The sequence below is a fragment of the Homo sapiens genome, chromosome 11, assembly GCF_000001405.40.
Source record: "Homo sapiens chromosome 11, GRCh38.p14 Primary Assembly".
NCBI classification, from domain to species: Eukaryota; Metazoa; Chordata; class Mammalia; order Primates; family Hominidae; genus Homo; species Homo sapiens.
The window spans coordinates 67,016,432-67,044,191 of NC_000011.10; the positions used below are offsets into that span (position 1 = coordinate 67,016,432).

Genomic DNA, 27,760 nt, shown 5'->3' on the forward strand with positions numbered 1-27,760 from the left:
AGGATTCTTGCCAGGGGTTATGAATGCACTTCTTTGGCATTTTCTAGAGAGGCTTCAGAAAGATGTAAATCACTTCTCGGCCAGTTTACATGCTAGACTGGTGTTTCTTTAAATATGCTAAAACAGAGCCTGAAAGTAGTGTATATTATCCAAAAAAAGAGTTTCCCAAAAGCTTTCCAAGGTGGTCTTGTTCTGAAACCGTATGCCCTATTCTGTGAGCCTAGAAGAAGTTGGCATGATGGGATGCGGTGCTGCAAGACCCAGCTCTGGAACTGTGGGTCTCAGCTGAGGGTGTCTGGGAGCTATGCTCGTGCCCATGCAGCCATTCCCAAGAGGCCCTCAGCTCTTCACACTTCCCCCTAGAAGCCAGCACTGCCCCAGAGGAACCTTCAGCTCTGCCTGGGAGCTCAGGAAAGTTCTCTGTGGCCAGCCTCAGTTGTCTCATAAAGTGGGATCATCTGCCTCAACAGCACCAGCGCTGTTGAGGATTACATGAGGTCGTAAATAAGAAAGCACTTTGCACAATGTCAAATATTACGTAAATTCTGTAATTATTGTTATTTCAAAGAAAAGATGTGAGGAGGGTCATAGCTGCAGCTCTCATTTGCTGATGACTTGCTCTATACCAGGCATGAGCTCCTTTAATCGTCCTCCAACCTCATGAGTGAGAACAGCTTCATCCCCATTTTACAGATGAAAGGCATTTAGCTCAAGGAAGGAAAGCCATTGGTCCAGAATGGTAATTCAAGTTCATGTCTTCCTGACCCCATAGCATTAGGCTGAGCCTCTCTAAAAGTGAAAGAGTTGAGGCCGGGTATGGTGGCTCACACCTGTAATCCATATACTTTGGGAGGCGGAGGCAGAAAGATCATTTGAGCCCGGGAGTTCAAGACCAGCCCGGGTAACATAGGGAGACCCCATTTCTACAATTTTTTTTTTTTTTTTTGAGACGGAGTCTTGCTCTGTCGCCCAGGCTGGAGTGCAGTAGTGCGAACTAGGCTCACTGCAACCTCCACCTCCTGGGTTCAAGTGATTCTTCTGTCTCAGCCTCCTGAGTAGCTGGGATTACAGATGCCTGCCACCACGCCCGGCTAATTTTTCATATTTTCAGTAGAGATGGGGTTTCCCCATTGTTGGCCAGGCTGGTCTCGAACTCCTGACCTTGTGATCTGCCTGCCTCAGCCTCCCAGAGTGCTGGTATTACAGGAGTGAGCCACCTCGCCCAGCCACAACAAAAAATTTTAAAGGCCAGGCGCAGTGGCTGACACCTGTAATCCCAGCACTTTGGGAGGCCAAGACGGGTGGATCACCTGAGGTCAGGAGTTCGAGACCAGCCTGGCCAACATGGTGAAACCCCGTCTCTACTAAAAATACAAAAATTAGCTGGGTGTGTTGGCAGGCGCTTGTAATCCCAGCTACTCAGGAGGCTGAGACAGGAGAATCACTTGAACCCAGGAGGCGGAGGTTGCAGTAAGCTGAGATCACACCATTGCACTCCAGCCTGGAGGACAAGAGTGAGGCTACATATCAAAGAAAAAAAATTTTAAAGGCCGGGCGCGGTGGCTCACACATGTAATCCCAATGCTTTGGGAGGCCGAGGCAGGTGGATCACTTAAGGTCAGAAGTTCGAGACCAGCCTGGCCAACATGGTGAAACCCCGTCTCTACTAAAAAATACAAAAATTAGCCAGGCGTGGTGGCATGTGCCTGTAATCCCAACTACTTGGGAGACTGAGGCAGGAGAATCTCTTGAATTTGGGAGGCAGAGGTTGCAGTGAGCTGAGATCGTGCCACTGCACTCCAGCCTGGGGGACAAGAGCGAAACTCTGTCTCAAAAAAAAAAATTTTTTTTTTTAAATAACTGGGCTGGCTACTCTGGGTACACTGCCTGTGGGGTAGCCCTGCTCCACAAGGAGCAGTACCAAAAAAGAAAAAGAAAAAAAAAATAGCTGGGCATGGTGACATGTGCCTGTAGTCCCAGCTCTTTAGGAGGCTGAGGTGGAAGGGTGGCTTGAGCCCTGTAATTCAAGTCTGCAATGAGCCATGATCTTACCACCACATTTCAGCCTGGGTGACAGAGCAAGATTCTGTCTCTTAAAAAAGAAAAAGAGGCCGGGCGCGGTGGCTCAAGCCTGTAATCCCAGCACTTTGGGAGGCCGAGGCAGGCGGATCATGAGGTCAAGAGATCAAGACCATCCTGGCTAACATGGTGAAACCCTGTCTCTACTAAAAATACAAAAATATTAGTCGGGCATGGTGGTGAGCACCTGTAGTACCAGCTACTCAGGAGGCTGAGGCAGGAGAATGGCATTAACCTGGGAGGCGGAGCTTGCAGTGAGCTGAGATGGCGCCGCTGCACTCCAGCCTGGGCGACAGAGCGAGACTCCGTCTCAAAAAAAAAAAGAAAAAGAAAACAAAAGTGCAAAAGTGAAAGAGTTGGGCCTGTGGGGTGCACAGGGCAGACAAGTGGCTGGTGCCTCATGAGCTGAGCCGGGGCCTGGAAAGCGGAGAACTGAGGCCAAGTGCAGTGGCTCAACGCCTACTGTTCCAACTGTATTCATCGATTTTCATGCTGCTGATAAAGACATACCCAAGACTGGGCAATTTATAAAGAAAGAGAGGTTTAAAGGACTCACAGTTCCTCATGACTGGGGAGGCTTCACAATCATGGCAGAAGGCGAAAAGCACATCTTACATGGTGGCAGACGAGAGAAAATGAGAGCCAAGCGAAAGGGGTTTCCCCTTATAATACCATCAGATCGCTGGGCGTGGTGACTCATGCCTGTAATCCCAGCACTTTGGGAGGCTGAGGTGGGTAGATCACCTGAGGTCGGAAGCTCGAGACCAGCCTGATCAACATGGAGAAACCCCATCTCTACTAAAAATACAAAATTAGCCGGGCGTGTTGGCGCATGCCTGTAATCCCAGCTACTCAGGAGATTCAGGCAGGAGAATCGCTTGAACCTGGGAGGCGGAGGTTGCAGTGAGCCAAGATCGTGCCATTGCACTCCAGCCTGGGCAACAAGAGCGAAACTCCACCTCAAAAAAAAAAAAAAATCAGATCTCATGAGACTTACTACCACGAGAACAGTACGGGGGAAACCGCCCCCCACGATTCAATTATCTCCCACTGGGTCCCTCCTACAACACGTGGGAATTATGGGAACTACAATCCAAGATGAGATTTGGGTGAGGACACAGCCAAACCATATCACCAACACTTTGGGAGGCCGAGGAGGGGGGAATCACTTGAGCCCAGGAGTTCATGACCAACCTGGGCAACGTGGCAAAACCCTGTCTCTACAAAAATACAAAAAATTAGCCATGCGTGGTGGCGTGAGCCTGTAACCCAGCTACTCAGGAGGCTGAGGTGGGAGGATCACCTGAGCCTGGGTGGTCAAGGCTGCAGTAAGCCGTCTTTGTGCCACTGCACTCCAGCCTGGGTGAAAGAGTGAGACCCTGTCTCAAAAAAAAAAAAAAAAAGTGGCGAGCCGCTTGCTGGAGCACTAGTCTTGGGGCCCAGCTGTGTGGCCTTGGGCGCCTTTTCTTTCTAGTCTCTTCACCTTTAAGTGTCACTGACTCCACGCACAGCATCTCTGTGATGCTCAGATGGAGCATCCTTCAGGCCAACCTCAGGGTGGGGCCTCCCCTGAGGTGCACTGCTCTTCAGGAACTGGTCCCAAAGGTCCCAGAGGTCAAGGAAGAATGAGTAGGGGCTTTGCTCGGAGGAGGTGACTTCTGTAGGATGTGATGCACAGAAGACGGAGGAAGCTGTTGGTGAGAGCAGGGAAAACACTCCAAGCAAAGGGACCAGCAAGGGAGAGTCCCTGAGGCGGAGAATGGCTTGTCAGGCGTCAGGAAGGCCAGAAGGCCCAGGAGGCAGGAGCTCAGCAGGTGACAGGGATGGTGGCATGAAAGTTCAGAGAGGCCAGCAGGGTCTGTAGGCCCCAGAAAGGAGTTTGGCTTCCATTTCCAGTGCAGCATGCAGCCACATGAGATGTGTTTGTTTTTGTAAATTGTACAGAAGCATATCACACATGCACAAAAGTGTACAAATCATCAGTGTACAATGCCATGAATTTTCACAAAGTGAACACACCCAGGAGATGGGCACTGAGATCAAAACCAGAATGTGACCAGCACCCCAGCATCCTCCCGTAGGCCCCTCTAGTCACCACCCCCATGGGGACCAGAGTCCCATGCACAGAGTAGTTTTGCTTGTCTTTGAACCTCCTATAAATGCATCCATCAGCAGCGTTCTCTGTGTCCAGCTTCTGTTGCTCAGCAGTACGTTTGTGAGATTCACCCACCATTTTTTTTTAGACGGAGTCTCTGTCGCCCAGGCTGGAGTGCAGTGGCGTGATCTCAGCTCACTGCAACCTCCACCTCCTGGGTTCAAGCGATTCTCCTGCCTCAGCCTCCCGAGTAGCTGGGATTATAGGTGCATACCACCACGCCCAGCTAATTTTGTATTTTTTAGTAGAGACGGCATTTCACCTTGTTACCCAGGCTGGTCTCGAACTCCTGAGCTCAGGCAATCTACCTGCCTCGGCCTCCCAAAGTGCTAGGATTACAGGCGTGAGCCTGAAAGGTGGATTCACTCGCCTTTCATTAGTGGTTGTAGTTTTGCTTCTCTTCTTAGTGGCACAGTCTTCCATTGTGTCACTACACCACAATGCATCTGTGCATTTGATTCATAATGGGCATTTGTGGTCTCCTGTTTGGGGCTACTGTCAACATTCTATCCTTGTCTTTTGGTGCACCCGTGTACGCTTTTCTGATCATTGAAGGGTGTTCAACATGAAATTGACAAGATCTCTCATTTCAAGCTCACTCCCGCCCCTGCATCAGCTCCCCAGTGTGACACCAGAACTGGACCAGCCTCAACTTTGCTTTTTTTTTTTGTTTGTTTGAGATGGAGTCTTGCTCTGCTGCCCAGGCCAATCTCGGCTCACTGCAGCCTATGCTCCCAGGTTCAAGCAATTCTTTTCCCTCAGCCTCCTGAGTAGCTGGGACTACAGGCATTTTTAGTGGAGACGGGGTTTCACCATGTTGGCCAGGCTGGTCTCGAACTCCTGGCCTCAAGTGATCCGCCCTACCTCAGCCTCCTAAAGTGCTGGGATTACAGGCTTGAGCCACTGTGCCTGGCCTCAACTTTGTCTTTTGTTGCTTGGGTAGAATACCCTATTAGAGTCTGGCCCCTTTTATGCCCTGATGATGTGTCTGACTCCCAACTCCCTTCCAAACCAGAAACTCGGCCATTCATTCCCCAGGCCTGGGTGTCCTGCGAAGAAAATGGACTCAAATGGACTCAATCGTACCAAAGCTGCAGCTGGCTGTGAAGGTTGAGTTAAATGGGAAATGGCAGTGAAAGCTCAGGGCCCATTACCCAGGCCCCCCGCCCCATGATAATGCCCTTTCTCTTTGTTCTGTTCCAGGTCCAGGAAATGAAATGAAGACAAAAGCGCCCCCTGTGGGTGAAGGTAAGATGCAGCTCTCTTTCTTTTTTTCTTTTTCTTTTCTTTTTTTTTTTTTGAGACGGAGTCGCCGCGATCTCACTGCAAGCTCCGCCTCCTGGGTTCACGCCATTCTCTTGCCTCAGCCTCCCGAGTAGCTGGGACTACAGGCGCCCGCCACCACACCTGGCTAATTTTTTTGTATTTTTAGTAGAGACGGGGTTTCACCGTGTTAGCCAGATGCAACTCTCTTTCTAGGGCTCCCCAGCATCCTGTCTTCTAGACCAAGGATGCCCACACTGCACCAAGCCAGCACAGACCCAGCCTCCACTGAGAGGTCAGTGCCCACAGGCTGCCCTCAGCTCTAAAGGCCCAGAGTGTAGATGAGCCAGGAAGCACTGCCACCCTTGCACACTTGCTCCCCATCTGGGATCCTCGCCCCTCTTCCTCCCCCACCCCAGACCGTTGGAGAGGTCTCCCCAGGTGTCCACCCAGCCTGCTCCCCTGGTTACTGTGCCCACAACATGTGGCACCTTCCCCCGCACCCAGCCCCTCCCAGTGCAAGCCGTGCCTCACTGCCAGACTGCGCGGGCAGGGAGGGACCTGTCCCCTGTTCCCGGAAGATGGAAGATCGCCCACACCTGGCACTGTGCCCAGCCCCTGCGGGGGCGTCATAAATATCTCCTGAATGATTCATTCATTCCTTTGGGAGAGAAAGCACGACCCCTTAGTGGTTAAAGGTATGGAGTTTGAAGTCACACAGACCTGGGTTCAATTCTGGCTCTGACCTTTGGCTCTGTGACCTTGGTCACCTCTCTGAGCCTGTTTCTTCATGTAAAAAATGGAGTCACCACGACCAGATTAGGCCACGGTGAGGACTGAGATGATGTTGTAAGGCACCAGCACAGAGCTGACCTACAGCTCAATCGTGGTGGGAGGGAGTAATTATCCATTCAGAAAAGGGGAAACTTTCCGCTGCGCCTCCTGTCGCTGTTTTCCTTGGCTCCCGGAGGTGCGCAGTATCGGGTCCGTTTTTAAGGTAAAGAAACTGAGGCCTAGAAAGAGAACAGGATAACCCAGGGCGCGGAGGCTGGGGCTAGAACCCAGGCCGGCTGGCTCTGAGTCCAGTGCTTGGCCTGCCTCTCAGAGGCCTGTGGGCACGTCCCCACCCACCCCTGTCCCCAGGCGTGGGAGCGAGGGGTTGGGCTTGGCCTCAGGGCGTCCCTGGATCCCGGACGCGCTTGGGGATCTCCGGCTCGGACCCCAGGAGCAGAGACAGCGCTCGAGCTTGTCACTTTAAATTCAAGAGGGAGCGGGCGGGCAAGCGGGCGAGCGCGAGGGAGCGCGCGGCGGGCTCCTGGGAGCGTGCCCGGACTGCGGCGCAGCTCCGGTCCGCCGCCCCGGCCCGGCCGAGCCCCCGGCCCGCGCCGCGCTCCTCGGAGGCGGGAGCCCGGCGACACTGCAGGGGTGGCGTTGCCGCCGGCGGCCGGGCTAGGCGCAGGTGCGTGCGCGCTGCGGGAGGCGGGCCGGCAGCTGGAGCCCAGCCGGAGCGGCGGCCCCTCCGCGGAGCCCGGGTGAGTACGCACCCCGCCGACCCCCGTGCGCGGCCGGGATCGCACCCTGATCGCGGACGCACGCAGCCCCCTCCTCGGGCCCTGGGCCCGGGACCCCAGAGCCCCGCGCACTCCGCGCTCCTGCACCTCCGCGCCGCGCTTGCACACGAACGAATGCCGGGCACCGCGCACGCTGGGCGCCCTTACCCGGCCCGGCCACTCCGCGCAGTGCGCATCGCATCGCACGCCCCGCATGTGCACACACGCGGCTCACCCGGCCATTTACACGCCTCCCCGCGCCCACGCTGCACACACGCCCCTCACTTTCGCATTCAGCGCCCTGACTGTCCTCACTGTCCCTGCTCTGGCTTCGCACCCCCTCCCGACACTCCGGTCCCCATACACCCTGGAGGTTCCCGAGGCAGGAGCGCTGGGTCTGCAGGAACCGTCCCAATCTGGAGGGGAACGTTGCACCCCAGCCCGAGGAGGCCCTGGCCGTGTGAAGAGCCAGATATGACCCTCAGCCGCCGGTGGCACCAGCCTGAGTGGGGGGCTTTCCAGAGCTTAGGAGAGGGGTATGGCGGGGCAGGGGAGGAAGCTTGCCCAGACTCAGGGCCTCAAGGCTGTAGATTTGGGCTGAAGTTGGGGGAGGGAGGTGGGGGGCCGGGAGCCTGGCCTGTGGGTGGAAGGCCCTGAGCTGGCCATCCTGGGAGCTCTCTTCCAGGGGCTGCAGAGAGACTGTGTGCACCCTCCTCCATTCCCAAAAGCCTGGGAAAGCTGCACCATGGAATGTCAGCTCCTTCTCCCCGTCAGGGGATGACAGTTTTAGAGAGCAGCAGCAATAGTGCTTCCTATTAGAAATGGGGAAATTGAGGCTCAGAGAGGGCAGGAGACCCACCGAAGTTACCACAGCCAGTGTGAAGAAGGGTTAGGACAAGTCCCCAAGCCCCCAGCCTCCCTACTCTGAAGTCTGAAAGCTTTCCTAAGCAGCTCTGCAGAGTGGGGGCTCCCAGCCTGGGTTTCAAACCCGGACTCTGCCACTTGTCAGCTCTGGTGACTGACTGACAAATAAAACACATCTGTAGGCTGGCAGCGCTGCCCACACTGCACCTCAGTTTCCTCTCCAGTACAAGGAGCAGGGTAGCAGCCCCCTCAGAGGGCTGCGGTGCTGAGATAACACAGGGCAAGTCACACAGTAGGTGCCCAATAAATGCCAGCCAGCACCTCCCAGCCAGTCTGTCCTGCGGTTTCTGTGGGCTGTTTGGGGGATGGCAGCAGGATGTGGTTATCTCAGAAAGCGGAGGAGGGGTACTTGAAAAGGTTTCAACCTAAAGATCCTGAAGAGGCTCACAGGTTGAAGGATGAGGCTCTCCTGGGCCCAACTCCCGACCCTTCCCATTGCCTTGCTAGCCAGAGAATGATGTGAGGACACTGGGCAAGGAGGTGGGGTGGAGCAGAAGGCAGGGACAGAGGGCCCCTCTCCCCCGCCGAGGCACAACATTCATGGAAAGCCAATTCTCTGACAAGCCCAGGAGGGGCCTCTGCCATGGTCTGATTCCAGCAAAGCTGGGGGAAGTGGGGGGCTCTTCCAACTCCCCACCCCAAAAGGCCTGCCTGTTCAGGAGTCAGCATGGTGACCAAGAGCCCAGGCCCAGATCCATTGCACCCTGGCACCAATCCCAGTGTTGCTACTTGTATGCTAGGTGACCTGGGGCCCCAGCTTCCTCATCTATAAAAGGGGGATCCATTAATCCACTGAATCATCATGTCCACATTGTGTACCTACTACAACCAGGCACAGTGCTAAGCACTTAGCACATGTTATGTCCACATGCATGTAGCAGTAAGGAGATATTGCTAGGTAGGTATGATCGAGCTGGAATTTGAACCTAGAGCTGTTTTCAATGAGTAAGCTCTGTGCAGTTTAGGGTCTGGGGATTTGGGACTGAACGAATTGGTCAGATGGGGAGGGGTGCTGCAGAGGTAGGGATGTGCAGTCTGGGAGCTCAGTGAGGGTCTGGAGCCACTCTGGTCCCCCATGTTATGCTCTTTGCTGTGTGTCTGGACACCGGGGATGCTCTGGTCACAGGCTGCCCTGGTCCCACTGTACCTCATTGCTATCCTCTTCTAGCCAAAGACACAGTCCTTCTGCCTGGCAGACCTCCAGGCTGCCAGCGGGAGCCCACTGAGGTGGTCCCAGGTGAGACAGAGTCAAGGGGTCTCGGGGATAGTGAGCAAAGCCCTTGAGAAGGGCACTGGCTGCACAGCAGCACTTGCGGCTTGGTCTGAGCTTCCTCCTCACTGGTTGGGTGACCTCGGGCCAATTCACTGCCCTTCTCTGAGCCTCCCTCTCCTCCTCCGTGGAGGAGGGGGTAGTAACAGGATTTGCCCCATGGGTCTTACGGGTGATGGGGAAGACGGCATGAGGGTTGTCACTGCTAATGGAAGAGGGGCTGGACTGGGCTACAGGAATGACTGCCAGGCCCAGCTCTACCACCGCTGGCTGTGTGGCTTTGGGCAAGTCACTTAACCTCTCTTAATCTCCCACAGCTTTGCTGGGCGTGGTGAGATCACACCACTTCATTCCAGCCTGGGTGAAAGAGCGAAACTCCGTCTCAAAAAAATAAATTAATTAAAAAAAAAAAGTAGCTCATTCAAAGCCCACTTTACCAGGCTTATGAGCAGGGATGCTTCCAGGGCTCAACAGGTTCTAGCAGTGAATGGAAGGATGGGAGCAGCCAGGGAAGGGGCAATGCCGACTTAGCTCCAACTCCTGTTGGAGTCGGGGGATGCAAACCCATTGTCCCCATATCTTCTAACTTTCTTTTTTTCTTTTCTTTCTTTTTTTTTGAGATGGAGTTTTGCTCTTGTTGCCCAGGCTGGAGTGCAGTGGTGCGATCTTGGCTCACTGCAACCTCCACCTCCTAGGTTCAAGCGATTCTTCTGCCTCAGCCTTCCCAAGTAGCTGGGATTACAGGCATGTGCCACCAAGCCCGGCTAATTTTGTATTTTTAGCAGAGATGGGGTTTCTCCGTGTGGGTCAGGCTGGTCTCAAACTCCCGAACTCAGGTGATCCGCCTGCCTCGGCCTCCCAAAGTGCTGGGATTACAGGCCTGAGCCACCGCGCCCGGCCAGATCTTCTAATTTTCAAAGGGAAGCTGGAAATCCTTTTTAAATCAATTTTTAATGGGAAACTCTCCCCGCACACACACACACTTTTTTTTTGAGGCACAGTCTCACTATGTTGTCCAGACTGGTTTTGAACTCCTGGGCTCAAGAGATCCTCCCACACCAGCCTCCCCAGTAGCTGGGACTACAGGCATGACCCACTGCACCCAGCTAAATTTTTCAATTTTAAAATGTTGGCAACTCACTTAAATGTAAGACAAATAAACACATCTGTAGGCTGGCAGTGCTGCCCACACTGCCCAGACTAGGGGTTAGGGGGTCTGTATGGGCCATCACCAGGCTGCTAACCACAGCAACCAATATGTGCCAAGCCTGACTACACGTACCTTCTCATTCCACCCTCCTGGCAGCCTCACATCTGCTTTACAGGTGGGGAACTGAGGCTCTAAGAGACTAAGAAAATTACCCAAGGCCACTGCAGCTAGCCAGGGGCAGGTATGGGAGTCAGAGCTGGGTGCAGCTGACTACAAACCCTGTGCTCAGGATGACACCCTCTAGGAGCCTCGACCTCTCTCCCAGTTCTCTTCTCCCTCCACTCAGGCAAATGAGCTCTGCCTTCACAGGGCACCAGGCTGGAACATATGTCTGGAGGCCAGGGGCGGTGGCTCACGCCTGTAATCCTAGCACTTTGGGAGGCCAAGATGGGAGGATCATTGAGGTCAGGAGTTCAAGACCATCCTGGCCAACATGATGAAACCCCGTCTCTACTGAAAATACAAAAACTAGCTGGGCATGGTGGCTCATGCCTGTAATCCCAGCTACTTGGGAGGCTGAGGCAGGAGAATCACTTGAACCCAGGAGGCAGAGGTTGCAGTGAGCTGAGATCGCGCCATTGCATTCAAGCCTGGGTGACACAGTGAGGCTCTGTCTCAAAAAAAAAAAAAAAAAAAAAAAAAAGAAGGAACTTCTGTCTGGGGTGTGCCTAGCAGTCATTCACACCCTCACTGAAATCTCAGCTCCCTGGGAAAGGATGTCGTGTTAAAGGGAGAGGAAAGAACAGACAGCGTGGGAGTCTGGGGTCTGAGCTGGGCCAGCCATGGAGGTGATGGGGCCCCCGACAGCCAGAGGCCAGATGCAGCTTGAGGCTTTGTCCCGTACCACGCCTGTTGTGCTGTGGGGTGTACTTTGCCATGCATACCTTGCTCGCGTGCTGCGGGCATTGGCTGTCCCAGCTTGGCCCCACTCTTGCAAAGTCAGCTTGTGCCAGGTAAGCAGGAAAAAGCCGATGGCTTATCTGATTCCCGGCAAGGCAGAAGCAGGCTGGGAGGTGCGTGTGTGTACATTAGCATGTGTTTCAGCGTATCCAGACCAGCTTCCGCCAGGAGCTAGGACCACCTTGGGCAGGTACATGGTGACCCATTTGACCTGCAGATTCTTAGGAAACTTTTTGGAAACCATATGCCCACTTGCAGTGAGACACAGTGGTTAGGAGCATGGAGCCAGTTGGCCTGGGTTGAACAGTTTATTAGCTGTGTGGCCTGGGGCAAATTACGCCCTGGGACTCTCACCCGCAAACCAGAGATAATAATAGTACCTACCTCATGGGGCTGTTAGGCAAATTAAATGAGGTCAGATAAATGCAAAGTGCTTAGAATGGCGCTTGATGTGTAAGAAGGGCTCGACAAGGTTCTCTATTACTATCATTATCTCCAGCCCAGGCCCAGGAATGAGCTTCCACTCTAGTCAGGATGGGTGAAGCCCTTCCTGGCTTAGCACCACCCTTCCATCACCATGACAACGCACATCTCCTTGTGGGAGTGGGGGCAGCATCAGGAGAACTGGAAGCCAGGAGCTGGCTGTGCACCTTATCTGACCTGCTTCTAGAGGCTCCTGGGCACCTCCAGGACTTAAGGGGGTAGACTAGGACTTATGGCACCCCAAATGTGCTGGATAACCCTGACTGGAGCATGGCACCGAAGCTTCTTGACTCCAAAGCCACAGACTGGGGAGAACCCCGGAATTCCTGAAAATGTGGAGGGCCTTAGCTTTACCCTCTGATTCGACCCCAGTCCCAAAGGGAACCTACAGGATGCTCCGAGGGGTTGGGAATTGGTGGGTCACACTCCCCAAGGACTTTTTATACTGCGTCTGAATGGTGTTTGCATTTTTTTGCAAATTGGTTGCTACCTTTAAAACTCAGGAAATGGCACATAAAAAATTCAGGTATCTGGCTTTTCTTTAAAGTGCCAGAAGATCAAGCCACGGTGGTTGGCATTCCTGCTGGGGCAAAAATGCAGCTGCCCTTGGGCCAGGCCATCACTCTGCAGTTCTTACCTCCCCTTCCCCTTGCCCTACCACCCTGCACCAGGCCTGCAGGCTTACCATGTGTAACCACCTCTCTGAACTACAAGGGAATCCAGAAATTGGGGTGGGCATTATCCTGGCCCTCGGTGCCCTTGACCTGAGATCAGTGCAGCCCATCCCAAATTCCTTTTTCCAGGACTCCCACATACACCCACTTAGAACACATCTGTGAGCCAGATTTACTTCTTAGCACACTAATAAAACAATGAGCAGTCACCTAGGTTCAGGTAATGGGTTGTACGAGCTCCCAGACCTTTCTAGAACAACTTAAGCCTCAGTCATTCCTAAAAGCTGGGGGTGGAGGATGGGGTGGGGAAGAAACCATGCCAAGCAGTGAAAGGACTGATAATAGAATATTGCAGACACGCAGCCTTTCCTTCCCAATCAAAATGGAAGCATTTGAAGGAAGGCTCTGGCTCAAGCCAGGGGGGCCTTGCTCTAATGAGTCACCTACTGCGTCGCCGCTGGTCAGCCTGATGTTGTTAGGATGGAAATGAGCTGGGGTTGCCAGATTTGGCAAATACAAAAACAGGACACCCAGGAGCATTGATGTTTTGGATGAACAATGGAAAAGATTTTGGCGTAAATATGTCCTGTGGAATATTTGGGACACACATATTAAAAACGTATTTGAAATTTGGCCAGGCGCTGTGGCTCACACCTGTAATCTCAGCACTTTGGGAGACCAAGGCTGGTGGATCACCTGAGGCCAGGAGTTCGATATCAGCCTGGCCAACATGGTGAAACCGCATCTCTACAAAAAATACAAAAATTAGCCGGGTGGGGTGGCACATGCCTGTCATCCCAGCTACTTGGGAGGCTGAGGCAGGAGATCACTTGAACCCAGGGGCAGAGGCTGCAGTGAGCCGAGATCGCGCCACTGCACTCTAGCCTGGGCAACAAAGAGAGACTCCATCTGAAAAAACAAAACAAAACAAAACAAAATCTGAAATTCACATGCCACTGGGCATCCTGTGTTTTATCTGGCAATCCTGAGAAGAGTCTTAGAATGCTTGAAAAGAGCTTTAAACATCATTTCTTAAAATGCCAAGCCTCCCTTTGGTGGCACTCCCCTTATAGCTGAGTGTAAGCTCTGGATGACAGGCACGTGGGTGCCAGGAGGCCAGGACCTAGGAGCGGGACGCTGACTCTCTGCAGCCCTCTCCTCTCACTCTCTTTTCCCTTCCAGTCACAGTCACTGCAGCAGACATCATGGCTGTGGATGTGGCAGAATACCATCTGAGCGGTGAGTGCCCAGGGCAAACCCCTCCTGGATCACGCCTGCGAGACCCTTACACCAGGCCTGGGTGGGAGGTGTCTGTGGGACATGAATAATTAGTCCTTGCCATTAATGTCTTCACTGTCAAGGACAGTCAGTGACTTGCCCAAGGTCAGACAGCCCGCCCTGGGGACATCAAGCTTGGCCCAGTCTGAGGTCTCCTCATCTTGCCACTCAAGTGGCTCCTTCTTGTTAAAGTGACTTTCTCTCTTTCACTTGAAAGGGTCCCCGGGGAGACCCTCATCCTGCTGCACCCTGGGGATGAGCCTGTGACTCGGAATCCACTCACCGAGGCCTTCTGTGGAGACTGTCAAGTAGCCAAGGGAAAATAAGCCCAGGAAGGTCAAGGTTAGATTCATGGGGCGTTAAACTCAGAGACCACCCAGTCCAGAGGCAGAGGTTATAGTGAGCTGAGATCACACCACTGCACTCCAGCTTTCCAGCCTGGGCAACAGAGTGAGACTCCGTCTCATCAGAAAAAAAAAGAGGCCACCCAGTCCAGGGCCATGGCTCCCACCTTGTCACCCTTTGCCTCAGCAGGGAGATGGGAGCTGGCTGGGAGATGCCTCGAGACTCCAGACATACTCCTGCAGCCCTCCCCATGGACAGCGGATGGGGTCAGAGAAGAAACATACCAGCCGTCTTTTCTCCCTTTGTTCCTCTCCTCATTCACAGATGGGAGAAGTGAGGCTTAGAGAGTAACGGGGTCAGGATGTGCACTCAGGTCTCCTGACTCCCAGCCCCGTGCTCCCCATCACTCTAGCCCCTACCCTAACGCAGCCCCTGGGGAGCCCAGGGCTGATCTGAAGGGTGTGCCCGGGAATCACCTTTCCCATCACTTTTTCCCAAAAGTGAGCCAGGGAGCCGCACTTTTCACCCTCAGGCTCACAGGTCTTGCCCCCCTGCCCCCACCCTGCCCCCTACCCGTATGGCCTTGGGCAAGTGGTGAAACCGGAACTTCTACTTACTTATCTGTAAAATGCAAAAGATGAGGCTTGCCTCAGGGCTGTTGGGAAGATTTAGAGAGCTGATGGTTGTGCAGCGCCCAGCATGGTGCAAACGCCACTCTTCCAGTGGCAGCGCTTTGCACACGCTGTTCCCCTGTCCTGGAGTCCTTCCCTGCCTCTGCCACTGCCTGCCTGAGTCCTGGCACCTGGTGGTGGGGTTATAGGTGCAGATCTGGACCCAGTCTGTCTGGAGGCAGATCTCTCCTCCGTCCCTCAGCTTCCTCATCTGTAAAATGGGGAAAACAATAGAACCAACCTCACAGGATTGCCTTGACTCCATGGGTTAATATACGTGACGTGCTTAGAACAGGGCCTGGCAAATCATAAATAGTAAGTGCTTCATAAGGGGAGCTATTCCTCCTCCTCCTCATCCCACTCGTTTCTGGTCTTCGCCTAGACCCCACTTCCAATATCACCCCAAGACTGGTATTCCATAAAATCAATAAATGAATGCGAATTGTCATTTCATGTCACCTTCCTGGGGCTTTTCCTTCTGTGCCCCCAGCCCTGCCCCCTTTTCTGCCACCCCGGGCATGGGCTCCACCCTTCAGCTCCCAAAGAGCCTCAGGCACAGGGGAGCCTGAACCTGCTTTGCCACCTGGCTGTGCCCACAGCCTGCTTAGAGACCTTGGGCCTCTGGTCCTGCCCTCTAGCCAACCCCCGGCTACTACCCAGCCCTGCTGTGACCCTGTTCCCAGGACTCCCAGAATACACCAAGCCTTAGCAGGGCGGGGCCCGGGAGCCTCCATGGATCTCTTTGTCATGGGCATACGTAGCCCACAGGTGACATTCTGTCAACAGCGGCAGGAGGAAGGAGGGTTTCTTCACAGCCCTTCCACCGTCGTTACCCATTCCTTCTGTTTTTCCCTGGTCTGCCCAGCCCGTGACTATGTGCTGCGTGACTTTTGCGCACGTCACACGATTGCGTGATTAGACCATGTTGGGGATTCATTTTTTTCCTCTCTTAACAATGCCAGAAATGTGTCTCTGCATTGCCACAGTGCCATCCTAATGACCTCAATTGTCATTCTCGAAGGCCAGTGACATTTCCTCCCAAGACAGAGCCACCAGCCCTCACTGGCCCCCTCGGTGGGACCTTCAGGCTGTCTCCAGATTTCTGCTGTTATAAATACAGCCTCGATGACTCATCCCAGACACAAAACCTGTTGGGATTTTCCCTTTAGAATAAATTCACCAGAGTGGGACCGCTGGATGGGGGATGTTCTTGTCATCCGCATTTTCCAAACGGAGTATGAAGCCCAGAGGTGCTGGGTGACTTGCCTGGAAGCCAAGGTACCGGTGCCCGGCTCTGCCGTTTCTCACCGCTGGCCTTGAGTGGAGAAACAGATGTGCTCATTACCCTTCCTTGGTCTCAGTTTTCCTCTTTTAGAAAGTAGGGCCTTGGCCAGGGGCGGTGGCTCACGCCTGTAATCCCAGCACTTTGGGAGGCCAAGGCGAGTGGATCACCTGAGGTCAGGAGTTTGAGACCAGCCTGGCCAATATGGTGGAACCCCATCTCTACTAGAAATACAAAAAATTAGCTGGGCATGGTGGTGGACGCCTGTAATTCCAGCTACTCGGGAGGCTGAGGCAGGAGAATCGCTTGAACCGGGGAGGCAGAGGTTGCAGTGAGCCGAAATCGTGCCATTGCACTCCAGCCTGGGCAACAAGAGTGAAACTCCATCTCAAAAAAAAAAAAAAAAAGAAAAAGAAAGAAAAGAAAAGAAAGTAGAGCCTTACAGGGTGCTCAGTGCTGGGAGGGCGTCAGGGCTGGAGGCCAGTGAGTCAGTGCTGTGGACTCTGGCCAAAGGCAGCTCAGCAGACAGCAGGGCAGGCTAGAGGGGCTGCCCCACTGTGTGATCCATTCCTGTGTGGCCGGGCTTCAGGGCAGCAGTGATGAGGAACTCCTCTAGCCCCGGGTCCCCTCCCTCCCTCCCCCGGCCACTCTGCCCACTCTGGGCTTTTTATACCCCTCTATTCTTCCCGCTCTTGACTTCCAGCTCCTGTTGCCGTGGCCTGGCACACTTCTTGCCCCTCCTCATATCTCAGCTTACATGTCCCTCTTCCAGGAGGCCTTCCTGGGCTGCTCCCATTCCCAGTACCCTGATCTGTCTATTTATTTGCCTGCCCCACCCCACCCCCTAGACTGCCAGCTACTTAAGGACAGGGACTTGGCCTGGGGCTGACTCAACCCTGGCTACCCATGCCCATAGGCTGCTGGCACACCAGGATGGGTGCTCAATGGATGTGCAGTGATCAATCTCATGCCCTGAGGTGCTCTTCGCACCTCTCCCCACCTTGCTTCCAGGGAACTGTGCGGGGTCGAGGCCGGGTGGGGCAGTGGTTACCCCACTTGCTTTGGGGTCTGGCTGCTAGAGTTGGGGTCCCAGCACCACCCCTTCTGGGCTCTGTGACCTTGGGCAAGTTCTTTAGCCTTTCTGTGCCTCAGTTTCCTCACTTGAATTGAGACAGACGCAGTACTAAGAGCAGTTTAGAGAACTGTATTTGCCAGCACTGTGACCTGCACAATGAATCCCAGTGTCTCCTTGGCTTCCTTTGGGGAAGCAGAGCCAGGTTTCCTGGGAGAGGGAGGCAAAACCTTGGAACGTGTATGGTCCTGCTGCGTGCCAAGCGCGGTGCTGGGGAGGACTCGCCTGCCACAGTTGAGGAGGTTGTTAATTTCCGTTTTCGGGGGCAGCAAGGCTCAGAGAGAGAAGGTTATTGACTCATCAGCAGAGCAAAAGCCTCTGAGCATCTGGATTTGTCTCCAAGCCCTGCACAGCCTGCAGCCACCTCTCACTTGTGGCTGAGTTGTTTGTTTTGGTAAGAGATTCACAGAGAGAAAAGATTCACATACCAAGCAATTTACCCACTTAAAGTGTACAATTTAATGGTTTTTAGTATATTGTGCAACCAACCACACAATCTATTTTTAGAATATTTTCATCATCCCCCAAAGAAACCCTATTTCTCCCAACTTTCCAGCCCCTGACAGTCACTAATCTACTGTATAGACTGGTGTCAATTCTGTCTACATAGATTTGCCTTTTCTGGATATTATGTACACAGGCTGATCATCCTAAATCCAAAAATCCAAATCCAAAATCTGAAATATTTTGCGGGCCGACATGATGCTGAAAGAAATGTCTATTGGAGCATTTTGGATTTCAGATTTTTGGATTAGGAATGCTCAGACTATAAGTGTAATGTAAATATCCCCAAATCAGAAAAAATCTGAAACCCAAAACACTTCTGGTCCCAAGCAACACAGGAAAGTGTATGTCTTGTTCGACATGGGATCTCCAGCACCTAGCACATAGTAGGCATTCAATAAATATCCATTCAATGTAGAAGTCGGTGCTGCTCCCCGGGTGGGGGTCTGTATCCACTAGGAAGCCCTAATGAGAGGCTGCCCTTGCCTTGCAGTCATCAAGAGCCCCCCTGGCTGGGAGGTGGGTGTCTATGCTGCAGGGGCCCTGGCCCTGCTGGGAATCGCAGCTGTGAGCCTGTGGAAGCTCTGGACGTCGGGGAGCTTCCCCAGCCCCTCTCCGTTCCCCAATTACGACTACAGGTACCTTCAGCAGAAGTACGGCGAGAGCTGCGCAGAGGCCAGGGAGAAGGTGAGGCTTCTGCTCCTGCAGGTGCACAGCGAGTGCAACCCCATGCCCCTACCATCCACTCAGATCAGTCTTCAGCCCCTCTCCCTCCGTCACCACCTCCTCCTGGTTAATGTCCTCCTTTGAAAGGGGAGTAGACCTCCCTCTTCCCCTTTCACATCTTCAACTTTTTTTTTTTTTTTTTTTTTTTTGAGATAGAGTTTCCCTCTTGTTGCCCAGGCTGGAGTGCAATGGCATGATCTGGGCTCACTGCAACCTCTGCCTCCTGGGTTCAAGCGATTATCCTGCTTCAGCTTCCCAAGTAGCTGGGATTATAAGCGTGCACCACCATGCCTGGCCAATTTCATATTTTTAGTAGATACGGGGTTTCACCATGTTGGTCAGGCTGGTGTCGAACTCCTGACCTCAGGTGATCCACCTGCCTCGACCTCCCAAAGTGCTGGCGTGAGTCACCACACCTGGCCTGCTTTTTAACTGCTAACGTTTTCTTTCTTTCTTTTTTTTTTTTTTTTCAAAATGCTCCTTGCAGAGCAGGGCTACCCCATAGGCCAAATGCCCAGAGTAACCTGATATATTTTTCTTCTTACTTTCTTTTTTTTCTTTTTCTTTTTCTTTTTCTTTTCTTTTTTTTTTTTTTTTTGAGACGGAGTCTCGCTCTGTTGCCCAGGCTGGAGTGCAGTGGGGCAATCTCGGCTCACTGCAAGCTCCGCCTCCCGGGTTCACGCCATTCTCCTGCCTCAGCCTCCTGAGTAGCTGGGACTACAGGCACCCGCCACCATGCCCAGCTAATTTTTTGTATTTTTAGTAGAGACGGGGTTTCACCATGTTAGCCAGGATGGTCTCGATCTCCTGACCTCGTGATCCGCCCGCCTTGGCCTCCCAAAGTACTGGGATTACAGACGTGAGCCACCGCGCCCGGCCCTTCCTTTCTTTCTTTTCTTTTCTTTTCTTTTCTTTCCTTCCTTCCTTCCTTCCTTCCTTCCTTCCTTCCTTCCTTCCTTCCTTTCTTTCTTTCTTTCTTTCTTTCTTTCTTTCTTTCTTTCTTTCCCTCCCTCCCTCCCTCCCTCCTTCCTTCCTTCCTTTCTTTTCTTTCTTTTGAGACAGGGTCTCACTCTGTCAGCCAGGCTGGAGTGCTCTGGCACAATCTCAGTTCACTGCAACCTACACCTCCTGGGTTCAAGCGATCCTCCCACCTCAGCCTCCTGAGTAGCTGGGATTACAGGCCCAAGCCACCATGCCTAGCTAATTTTTTTTTTATTTTTTGTAGAGACGGGGTTTCACCATGTTGGCCAGGCTGGCCTCGAACTCCTGGGCTAAGAGATCTGCCCGCCTTGGCCTCCCAAAGTGCTAGGATTACAGGCATGCACTACCGTGCCAGGTCCTTCTCTTTTCACCTCCCTTGTAGCTGAAGCATTTTGATATACTGTTGAACACACATCATAAACATTATTTTAATGGCTGTATGAGATTCTTTTTTGTACATGTGCCATGATTGACTAAATGTCATGATAAATAATGCAGTGGATGTTCTGTAGGTAAAACTTTGTCTTCATTTGGGATAGTGTGCTTTGGATGGATGTCCAGATGTGTAACTGCTGTATTGGGGGCACACACATTCTTAGGGCTCTCACTATACCTTGCTGAAAGTTTTATCATTTAACACATGGCAGAGAGTTTTCCGAATGTCATGTAGAGTTCCAGAGAGCACAGCCAGAATCTATTACCAGATTAGAGTCCCTCATGTTCACTCACTTAGGGTGTCTGGGGGGACTATCTCACACGCTGTTGGGGGAATGTAAATTTGAAAAAAATTTTCCAGGCCTGGTGTGGTGGCTCACGCCCGTAATCCCAGCACTTTGGGAGGCCGAGGCGGGCAGATCTCTTGAGGTCAGGAGTTCAAGACCAGCCTGGCCAACATGGTGAAACCCTGTCTCTACTAAAAAAAATACAAAAATTGACCGGGCACAGTGGCTCATGCCTGTAATCCCAGCACTTTGAGAGGCTAAGACTGGTGGATCACCTGAGGTCGTGAGTTTGAGACCAGCCTGCCCAACATGGAGAAACCTGGTCTCTACTAAAAATACAAAATTAGCCAAGTGTGGTGGCGCATGCCTGTAATCCCAGCTACTCGGGAAGCTGAGACAGGAGAATTGCTTGAACCCAGAAGGTGGAGGTTGCAGTGAGCTGAGATCACGCCATTGCACTCCAAGCCTGGGCAACAAGAGCAAAACTCTGTCTCAAACAAAATAAAACAAAACAAAACAAAAAAATTAGCTGAGCATGGTGGCAGGCGCCTGTAATTCCAGCTACTCAGCAGGCTGAGACACAAGAATTGCTTGAACCTAGGAGCCAAGATCGTGGCAGTGCACTCTAGCCTGGGCAACAGAGTGAGACTCCATCAAAAACAAAAACAAAAAACCTTCAAGGGACTGTGTCCTCTGAGCCAGGATTTTAAGAAGGCTATTCAGTACTGCAGTATTTGTATTTCTGAAAAAGTACAAGCAACATAAATGTCCAACAGTGGGGAAGAGTAAATTAAATTATGATTATCTGCTCAATGCAAAATTGGGGAACCATGAAAATTATGGTAAGCAGCCAGGTGCAGTGGCTCATGTCTGTGATCCCAGCACTTTGGGTAGCCAAGGCAGAAGGATCGCTTGAGCCCAGGAGTTGGAGACTGGCCTGGGCAACAAAGCAAGATCTCATCTCTACCAAAATAAATAAATAAATAAATAAATAAATAAATAAATAAAATTAGCTAGGTGTGGGTAGGCACAGTGCTCATGCCTGTAATCTCAGCACTTTGGGAAGCTGAGGTGGGCATCACCTGAGGTTGGGAGTTCGAGACCAGCCTGACCAACATGGAGAAATGCCGTCTCTACTAAAAATACAAAAAATTAGCTGGGTGTGATGGTGCATGCCTGTAATCCCAGCTACTCAGAAGGCTGAAGCAGGAGAATCGCTTGAACCCAGGAGGTGGAGCTTGCAGTGAGCAGAGATCGCACCACTCTACTCCAGCCTGGGCGACAGAGCGAGGCTCCCCCTCAGAAAAAAAAAAAAAGAAAAAAAAAAAGCCAGGTGTAGTAGGTCACACCTGTGGTCCTGGACACTTGGGAGAGTGAGGGGGGAGGATCGCTTGGGCCCAGAAGGTTGAGGCTGCAGAGAGCTGTGATCGCACTCCACCCTGGGCAAGTGAGACCCTGTCTCAAAAAAAAAAAAAAAATTATGGTAATGAAGGCATGGAAGATGCTTATGGAATAAAAGGTTCTTGTTTTCTCAAATCCCAAGGTCAATTTAGGGAAAATAAAACTATTTATTTATTTATTTATTTATTTATTTATTTATTTTTGAGACAGAGTCTCACCCTGTCGCCCAGTCTGGAGTGCAGCGGCGCAATCTCAGCTCACTGCAACCTCCGCCTCCTGGATTCAAGCAGTTCTCCTGCCTCAGCCTCCTGAGTAGCTGAGATTATAGGTGCATGCCGCCACACCCGGCTAATTTTTGTAGTTTTAGTAGAGACGGTTTCACCATGTTGGCCAGGCTGGTCTTGAACTCCTGACCTCAGGCGATCCGCCACCTCAGCCTCCCAAAGTGCTGGTTTTACAGGCATGAGCCACCGTGCCTGGCCAAGGGAAAAAAAAATTAATATTTGGGTGAGTGTCACCCAACATGAAAGCTTCCTGTGTTGTAAACTTCCCTTGTGGCTGCTCCATCATCTCTTGAGTAGCTGGCTTCTGGTATTCTTACCCATTCTTCTTCTGGGACACTTAGATTGCTAGCTGCTTTTCCTTTTTCTAAACATCACTGCAATCGACAACTTGATGTATGGAATTCTGTCCCTACAAATATACATATTAAGAAAAAGTTGAAGGGCTGGGCGTGGTGGCTCACGCCTGTAATCTCAGCACTTTGGGAGGCTGAGGCAGGCAGATCACAAGGTCAGGAGTTCAAGACCAGCCTGGCCAACATACTGAAACCCTGTCTCTACTAAAAATACAAAAATTAGCTGGGTGTGGTGGCAGGCGCCTGTAGTCCCAGCTACTTGGGAGGCTGAGGCAGGAGAATTGCTTGAACCCAGGAGGCAGAGGTTGCAGTGAGGCAAGATCATGCCACTGCACTCCAGGCTGGGCGATGCAGCGAGACTCTGTCTCAAAAAATAAATAAATAAATAAATAAATAAATAGTTGGCCAGGAGTGGTGGCTCGCACCTGTAATCCCAGCACTTTGGGAGGCCGAGGCAGGCAGATCACCTGAGGTCGGGAGTTCCAGACCAGCCTGGCCAACATGGAGAAACCCTGTCTCTACTAAAAATACAAAATTAGCCGGGCGTGGTGGTGTGCACCTGTAATCCCGGGTCCTCAGGAGGCTGAGGCAGGAGAATTGCTTGAACCTGGGAGGGGGAGGTTGCAGTGAATGGAGATCGAGCCACTGCACTCCAGCCTGGTGACAGAGTGAGACTCTCTCAAAAAAAACAAATGTTTCATATACCCCTAGGCTGGGCACGGTGGCTCACGCCTGTAATCCCAGCACTTTGGGAGGCCGAGGTAGGTGGGCAGATCACCTGAGATTGGGAGTTCGAGACTAGCCTGACCAACATGGAGAAACCCCATCTCTACTAAAAATACAAAATTAGCCAGACATGGTGGCGCACCCCTGTAATCCCAGCTACTCAGGAGGCTGAGGCAGGAGAATCACTTGAACCCTGGATGCAGAGGTTGCAGTGAGCCGAGATCACGCCATTGCACTCCAGCCTGGGCAACAAGAGCAAAACTCCATCTCAAAAAAATGAGTAAATAAATAAGTGACATGAAATAATATTAAACAGCGACCTTCCTAGCTAAGGGATGCAGGGCTTCTGTGAAAGGGGAACTTGGAGATTCGAGAATGAACAGGCCTTACTCATCTCTTTGCCGTCTCCCAGTGACCTTGCCTATGGCCCCCATGATGCTCCCACGTCCCTCTTTCTCACCCCTAGAGAGTGCCTGCCTGGAATGCCCAGCGGGCCAGCACGCGGGGACCACCCAGCCGCAAAGGCAGTCTCAGCATTGAGGACACCTTTGAGAGCATCAGTGAACTGGGGCCTCTGGAGCTGATGGGCCGGGAGTTGGACCTGGCCCCCTATGGGACCCTCCGGAAGTCCCAGTCGGCCGACTCCCTGAACTCCATCTCCTCCGTGAGCAACACCTTTGGGCAGGACTTCACACTGGGCCAGGTGGAGGTGAGCATGGAGTACGACACTGCCTCCCACACGCTGAACGTGGCGGTGATGCAGGGCAAGGACCTCCTGGAGCGGGAGGAGGCCAGCTTCGAGTCCTGCTTCATGCGCGTCAGCCTGCTGCCGGACGAGCAGATCGTGGGCATTTCTCGGGTAAGTGGGGCTCAGGGCGGGGCAGAAGGGTGCTCTGGGCTCACTAGATGCCTCCCAGGCAGGCATGGCGGTGGGGCCCGGCAGGATCCCAGAAAGGCAGTAGAGTGCAAGTATGGATGCTGATCCCAGAGCTGAAGCTTCAGACTGTAGAGGGAGCTCTGTACAGAGCTGGGAGGTGGGGGGCTCCACCTGAAGGCTCCCATTGTGTGGAGTTCTTAGCGGTCCCACCAGGTGAATACAGAATGTGGCAACTGTCGTTGTCCACATCTGCCCTGTGTCAACATGGGGTCCCGGCAGAAAAGGGATGACATGCTTAAGAAGGCTAATTTGGGGAGGGCTTAATAACAGGACTGGGGCTGGTTGTGGTGGCTCATGCCTCTAATCTCAGCACTTTGGGAGGCCGAGGCGGGCAGATCATGAGGTCAGGAGATCGAGACCATCCTGCCTAACACGGTGAAACCCCATCTCTACTAAAATACAAAAAATTAGCCGGGCGTGGTGGCGGGCACCTGTAGTCCCAGCTACTCGGGAGGCTGAGGCAGGAGAATGGCGTGAACCTGGGAGGCAGAGCTTGCAGTGAGCCGAGATCGTGCCACTGCACTCCAGCCTGGGCGACAGAGGGAGACTCTGTCTCAAAATAAATAAATAAATAAAAATAAAACAGGACTGTCCAGGTACAGTGATTCATGCCTGTAATCCCAGCACTTTGGGAGGCCAAGGTGGGAGGATTGCTTGAGCCTAACCAGGAGTTCAAGGCCAGCCTAGGCAACATGGCAAAACTCCTTCTCTACCAAAAAAAATAAAATAAAATAAAATAAATTAGCTGGCTGTGGTAGTGCCAGCTAATTTATAGTCCCAGCTACTTGGGAGGCTGAGATGGGAGGATCACTTGAGCCCAGGAGGTTGAGGCTGCAATGAGCCACGATTGCACCACTGCACTCCAGCCTGGGTGACAGAATGAGACCCTATCTCAAAAAATAAAAATAGGGCCAGGTGCAGTGGCTCACACCTGTAATCCCAGCCCTTTGGAGGCTGAGGCAGGTGGATCACCTGAGGTCAGATGTTTGAGACCAGCCTGGCCAATATGGTGAAACCCCGTCTCTACTAAAAATACAAAAATTAGCAGGGCATGTGGTGCACACCTGTAATCCCAGCTATTGAGGTGGCTGAGGCAGGAGAATTGCATGAACTCAGGAGGCGGAGGTTGCAATGAGCCGAGATCATGCCACTGCACTCCAGCCTGGGCGACAGAGTGAGACTCCGTCTCAAAAATAATAAATAAATAAATAAATTTTAAAAATGAAAATAATAAGACCATTTAGAGTGGTGCGGATGGGGTGTGGGGCAGCCTCAGGGATGGCATGGTACCCTGGAAGGGCGTAACAGGAGGGGCTGTCCCACTCTAGATCTGAAGGGGTGAGGGGAAGGTGAGGTTACTGGGCCCAAAAGGATAGAGGGCCACCTTGTGTGGAGAGGGCTACCTTGGTGGAAGCTCTGCCCTTTGGCCAAGGGACATGGTCATCCCGCAACAATACTGCAGAGAGGGACTTCCCTCCCCCTCCAGTTTCCTTCTGGTGACCTCCACTGGCTGACCCAACCAGAAGCCAAAGGCCAAGGGAACCTGTTGACACAGCCCATGGAGGTCAACTCTCAGGGCCAGAGCAGAGGGGGGAAGGGTGGAGAATAAAGCGTGAGGGGCAGGGAAGGTGCCCAGTCCCTTAGGCTACCCTCCACACATCGCTGTAACTCACAGAACCAAGCCAACAGAGCCACATCTGGGCTGAAGGGTGGGGATAGCCTGTGAGCAGAGTGCGAGGAGGGCGTGTTTAGGGCATCAAGTTGGGGTGGCCCAGCTTCTGAGAGGCAGTATAGTGGGCGATTAGGAGCAGGACCCTGGAGCCTGACTGCCTGGGTTCAAATCCTTGTTCCACCTCTTCCTAGCAGTATGATCTTGGTTAAGTCAGTTTAGTACCCCATGACTCCGTTTCCCCATCTGTCAAATGGGCATCATGGTTATTGAGGAAGAGATGGGTTAATGTATGTGAAGTTCTTAGCCCAGCCTGGGTCAGTGCCTAGCAGGTTGGCTCTCAGGACCGTGCAGAGCTCCTGTCGTGCCCAGCCATGTTGCCTGTGGTTTGGGGACGCATTCCTTGAGGAGAGACATTGGCAGACAGCAGCCGCCACAGCCTGATGTGTGCTGAGAACCTGGTTCACAGAGCCCAGTGCATCCATGATTCTCTCATTAGCCCCTGACGCCAACAGGACAGATTGTTAGGGCATCTTACAGATGAGGAAACCGAGGCTCGGGAAAGTGCTTTGCCCAAGACAACGCCAGTAAGGAAGCAGGAGGTCCAGGACTCAAACCCAGGGTTCCATCCTCCTCCACCCATGTGCACATAAAGCACACGCTCAGAGAATGGCTGGTTGGGGAGCCCAGGCCCCCATGAGCAGGGGACAGCTGAGAGGCTAATTTAGCCGAAGGAGGGAGAGGCAGAGCCAGATCATGAAGAGCCTGAATGCCGAGGTCAGGAGGTCAGGAGGCCAGGTGGGCTTTATCACTTGGGGGCAAGGAGCCCTTCAAGAGCAGGGGATTGTGTAGGGAACGTGAGCACTGTGCGAGGAGCCTTCCCACACCCAGGCAGTGACAGAAGAGTGTGGTCATGGTGGCCGGTGGCGCTGGGGGATTTATTCCAGGGAAGGCAAGCTTCCCAGCTTAACAGCCTGGGCAATCCCACCAGGGGGTGCTGCCCCCAGGCTAGGCAGCCCCCCAGCCTCAGGCAGGGTCCAGGGATGAGAGCGCCTTTCTTTAAATATCACCAGGCAGTGACTAAAGCATCCCCCTTATTCCCCAGAGACAGAGCCCGCAATGCACCTTCCCAGGGGGCCTGCCCACAACTTCCTGGGAGGAGGTCAGTGGTGCCCACCAGGCAGGACTGGGCTTGGAAACCGAGTTGGCCCAACCTCGCCTAGTCCTCCCTTCCATCCACCCATCCAGCCTACGGTGTTCAAACAGTCCTGGGCCAGGCTCTGCAGGAACCTGGGACGTCAGTGGCTCGTGACTCCACAGGCAACTGTCCCACTCCACTGCTTGCCTGGCCTAGGGCTAGACTCGAACAGATGCAAGAAAGATGGAGACCAGCTCGTCCAGGGCATCTTGAGGGTTCTGGGGTGCCACGGGCACTGAGGACGGAAATTAGTTGGGATCAGATTGTGGGAGCTTAAAACGCCAGGCCACTAGATTGGCCGCCACTGAGGAGAGGACAGGAGGCTTTTAAACCTTCAAGGCTGAGCCACCAAAGGAAAGATTGGCATTGAGGGTGTCAAGACAACAGAGCCAGGACTCTAGCCTGGGCCTCTGGACTCCCTGTCCAGTGCTGTCTCCCTGCTGTGGCCTCTCAGGCCCCTAGCGCCCTCCATGGCCTTTTCTCCTGCAGATCCAGAGAAATGCCTACTCCATCTTCTTTGATGAGAAGTTCTCCATCCCCCTGGATCCCACAGCCCTGGAGGAGAAGAGCCTGCGGTTTTCTGTATTTGGCATCGATGAGGATGAGCGCAACGTCAGCACGGGGGTGGTGGAGCTGAAGCTTTCTGTGCTTGACCTCCCGCTGCAGCCCTTCAGTGGCTGGCTCTATTTACAGGACCAGAACAAGGTAAGTGACTTGCCTGCTCGTCCACCTCGGAAGAGCGTGCACACACATACACTTCCAGGAAGGGACTCCATCATCCTCATCATCCTCTGCAATAGCCTGAGCCCCATCATCATTAGGAGAGCAGAGAAGAAGACCTGAGCCACATCCGAGGAAACTGCTTGCTGCAGGCAAATTTCAAAAACATCCCGACCACTGTTTACAGCTCGTCTGCTGCTTTGCCACCAAAGCTTCAGAGGTTCTACCCCTACTGAGCTTCTGCTAGAGAAACATTCCTCTAGCCTTAGAGGGGATGATTTCAGACAGACACCAAGCTGCACTTTAGTTTTATAATTGTAGGA

At 52.9% G+C, this 27,760-nt stretch overlaps 1 protein-coding gene across 9 annotated transcripts in view, besides 6 other annotated features; it reads left to right on the forward strand.

Annotated features, from left to right (window-relative positions):
• The window catches only part of SYT12 (synaptotagmin 12), a 44,093-nt gene that overhangs the window by 9,661 nt on the left and 6,672 nt on the right, over positions 1–27,760 (forward strand). For 2 of the 9 annotated variants that reach the window (XM_011545346.4, XM_006718737.5), the window contains 5 exons: positions 5,438–5,482; positions 13,691–13,747; positions 18,214–18,407; positions 23,380–23,772; positions 27,207–27,422. In XM_011545346.4, coding sequence (XP_011543648.1) covers positions 5,438–5,482; positions 13,691–13,747; positions 18,214–18,407; positions 23,380–23,772; positions 27,207–27,422 — 905 coding nt within the window. Of the gene's footprint in view, positions 1–5,324; positions 5,344–5,437; positions 5,483–6,268; positions 6,327–6,361; positions 6,495–6,702; positions 7,030–11,085; positions 13,748–14,003; positions 14,129–18,213; positions 18,408–23,379; positions 23,773–27,206; positions 27,423–27,760 lie in introns of those variants that run through there. The other 7 variants (XM_024448766.2, NM_001318773.2, XM_011545347.2 and 4 more) reach the window with 7 other exon arrangements.
• Positions 4,993–6,192: an enhancer, noted in NCBI's record as "P300/CBP strongly-dependent group 1 enhancer chr11:66788895-66790094 (GRCh37/hg19 assembly coordinates)". NCBI's record gives its function as "activates an origin of replication core promoter dependent on BRD2, BRD4, P300/CBP, MED14 and CDK7 cofactors, with strong dependence on P300/CBP, by STARR-seq in HCT116 cells {active_cell/tissue: HCT116}" and the evidence as "EXISTENCE:reporter gene assay evidence [ECO:0000049][PMID:35650434]".
• Positions 7,134–7,634: an enhancer, noted in NCBI's record as "H3K4me1 hESC enhancer chr11:66791036-66791536 (GRCh37/hg19 assembly coordinates)". NCBI's record gives its function as "activates a minimal SCP1, AML or CMV promoter by ChIP-STARR-seq in naive H9 embryonic stem cells {active_cell/tissue: H9 hESC(naive)}" and the evidence as "EXISTENCE:reporter gene assay evidence [ECO:0000049][PMID:30033119]".
• Positions 7,363–7,462: an enhancer, noted in NCBI's record as "active region_5063". NCBI's record gives its function as "activates an Ori minimal core promoter by ATAC-STARR-seq in GM12878 lymphoblastoid cells {active_cell/tissue: GM12878}" and the evidence as "EXISTENCE:reporter gene assay evidence [ECO:0000049][PMID:35858748]".
• Positions 7,635–8,135: an enhancer, noted in NCBI's record as "H3K4me1 hESC enhancer chr11:66791537-66792037 (GRCh37/hg19 assembly coordinates)". NCBI's record gives its function as "activates a minimal SCP1, AML or CMV promoter by ChIP-STARR-seq in naive H9 embryonic stem cells {active_cell/tissue: H9 hESC(naive)}" and the evidence as "EXISTENCE:reporter gene assay evidence [ECO:0000049][PMID:30033119]".
• Positions 11,346–11,415: an enhancer, noted in NCBI's record as "active region_5064". NCBI's record gives its function as "activates an Ori minimal core promoter by ATAC-STARR-seq in GM12878 lymphoblastoid cells {active_cell/tissue: GM12878}" and the evidence as "EXISTENCE:reporter gene assay evidence [ECO:0000049][PMID:35858748]".
• Positions 15,817–16,656: an enhancer, noted in NCBI's record as "H3K4me1 hESC enhancer chr11:66799719-66800558 (GRCh37/hg19 assembly coordinates)". NCBI's record gives its function as "activates a minimal SCP1, AML or CMV promoter by ChIP-STARR-seq in naive H9 embryonic stem cells {active_cell/tissue: H9 hESC(naive)}" and the evidence as "EXISTENCE:reporter gene assay evidence [ECO:0000049][PMID:30033119]".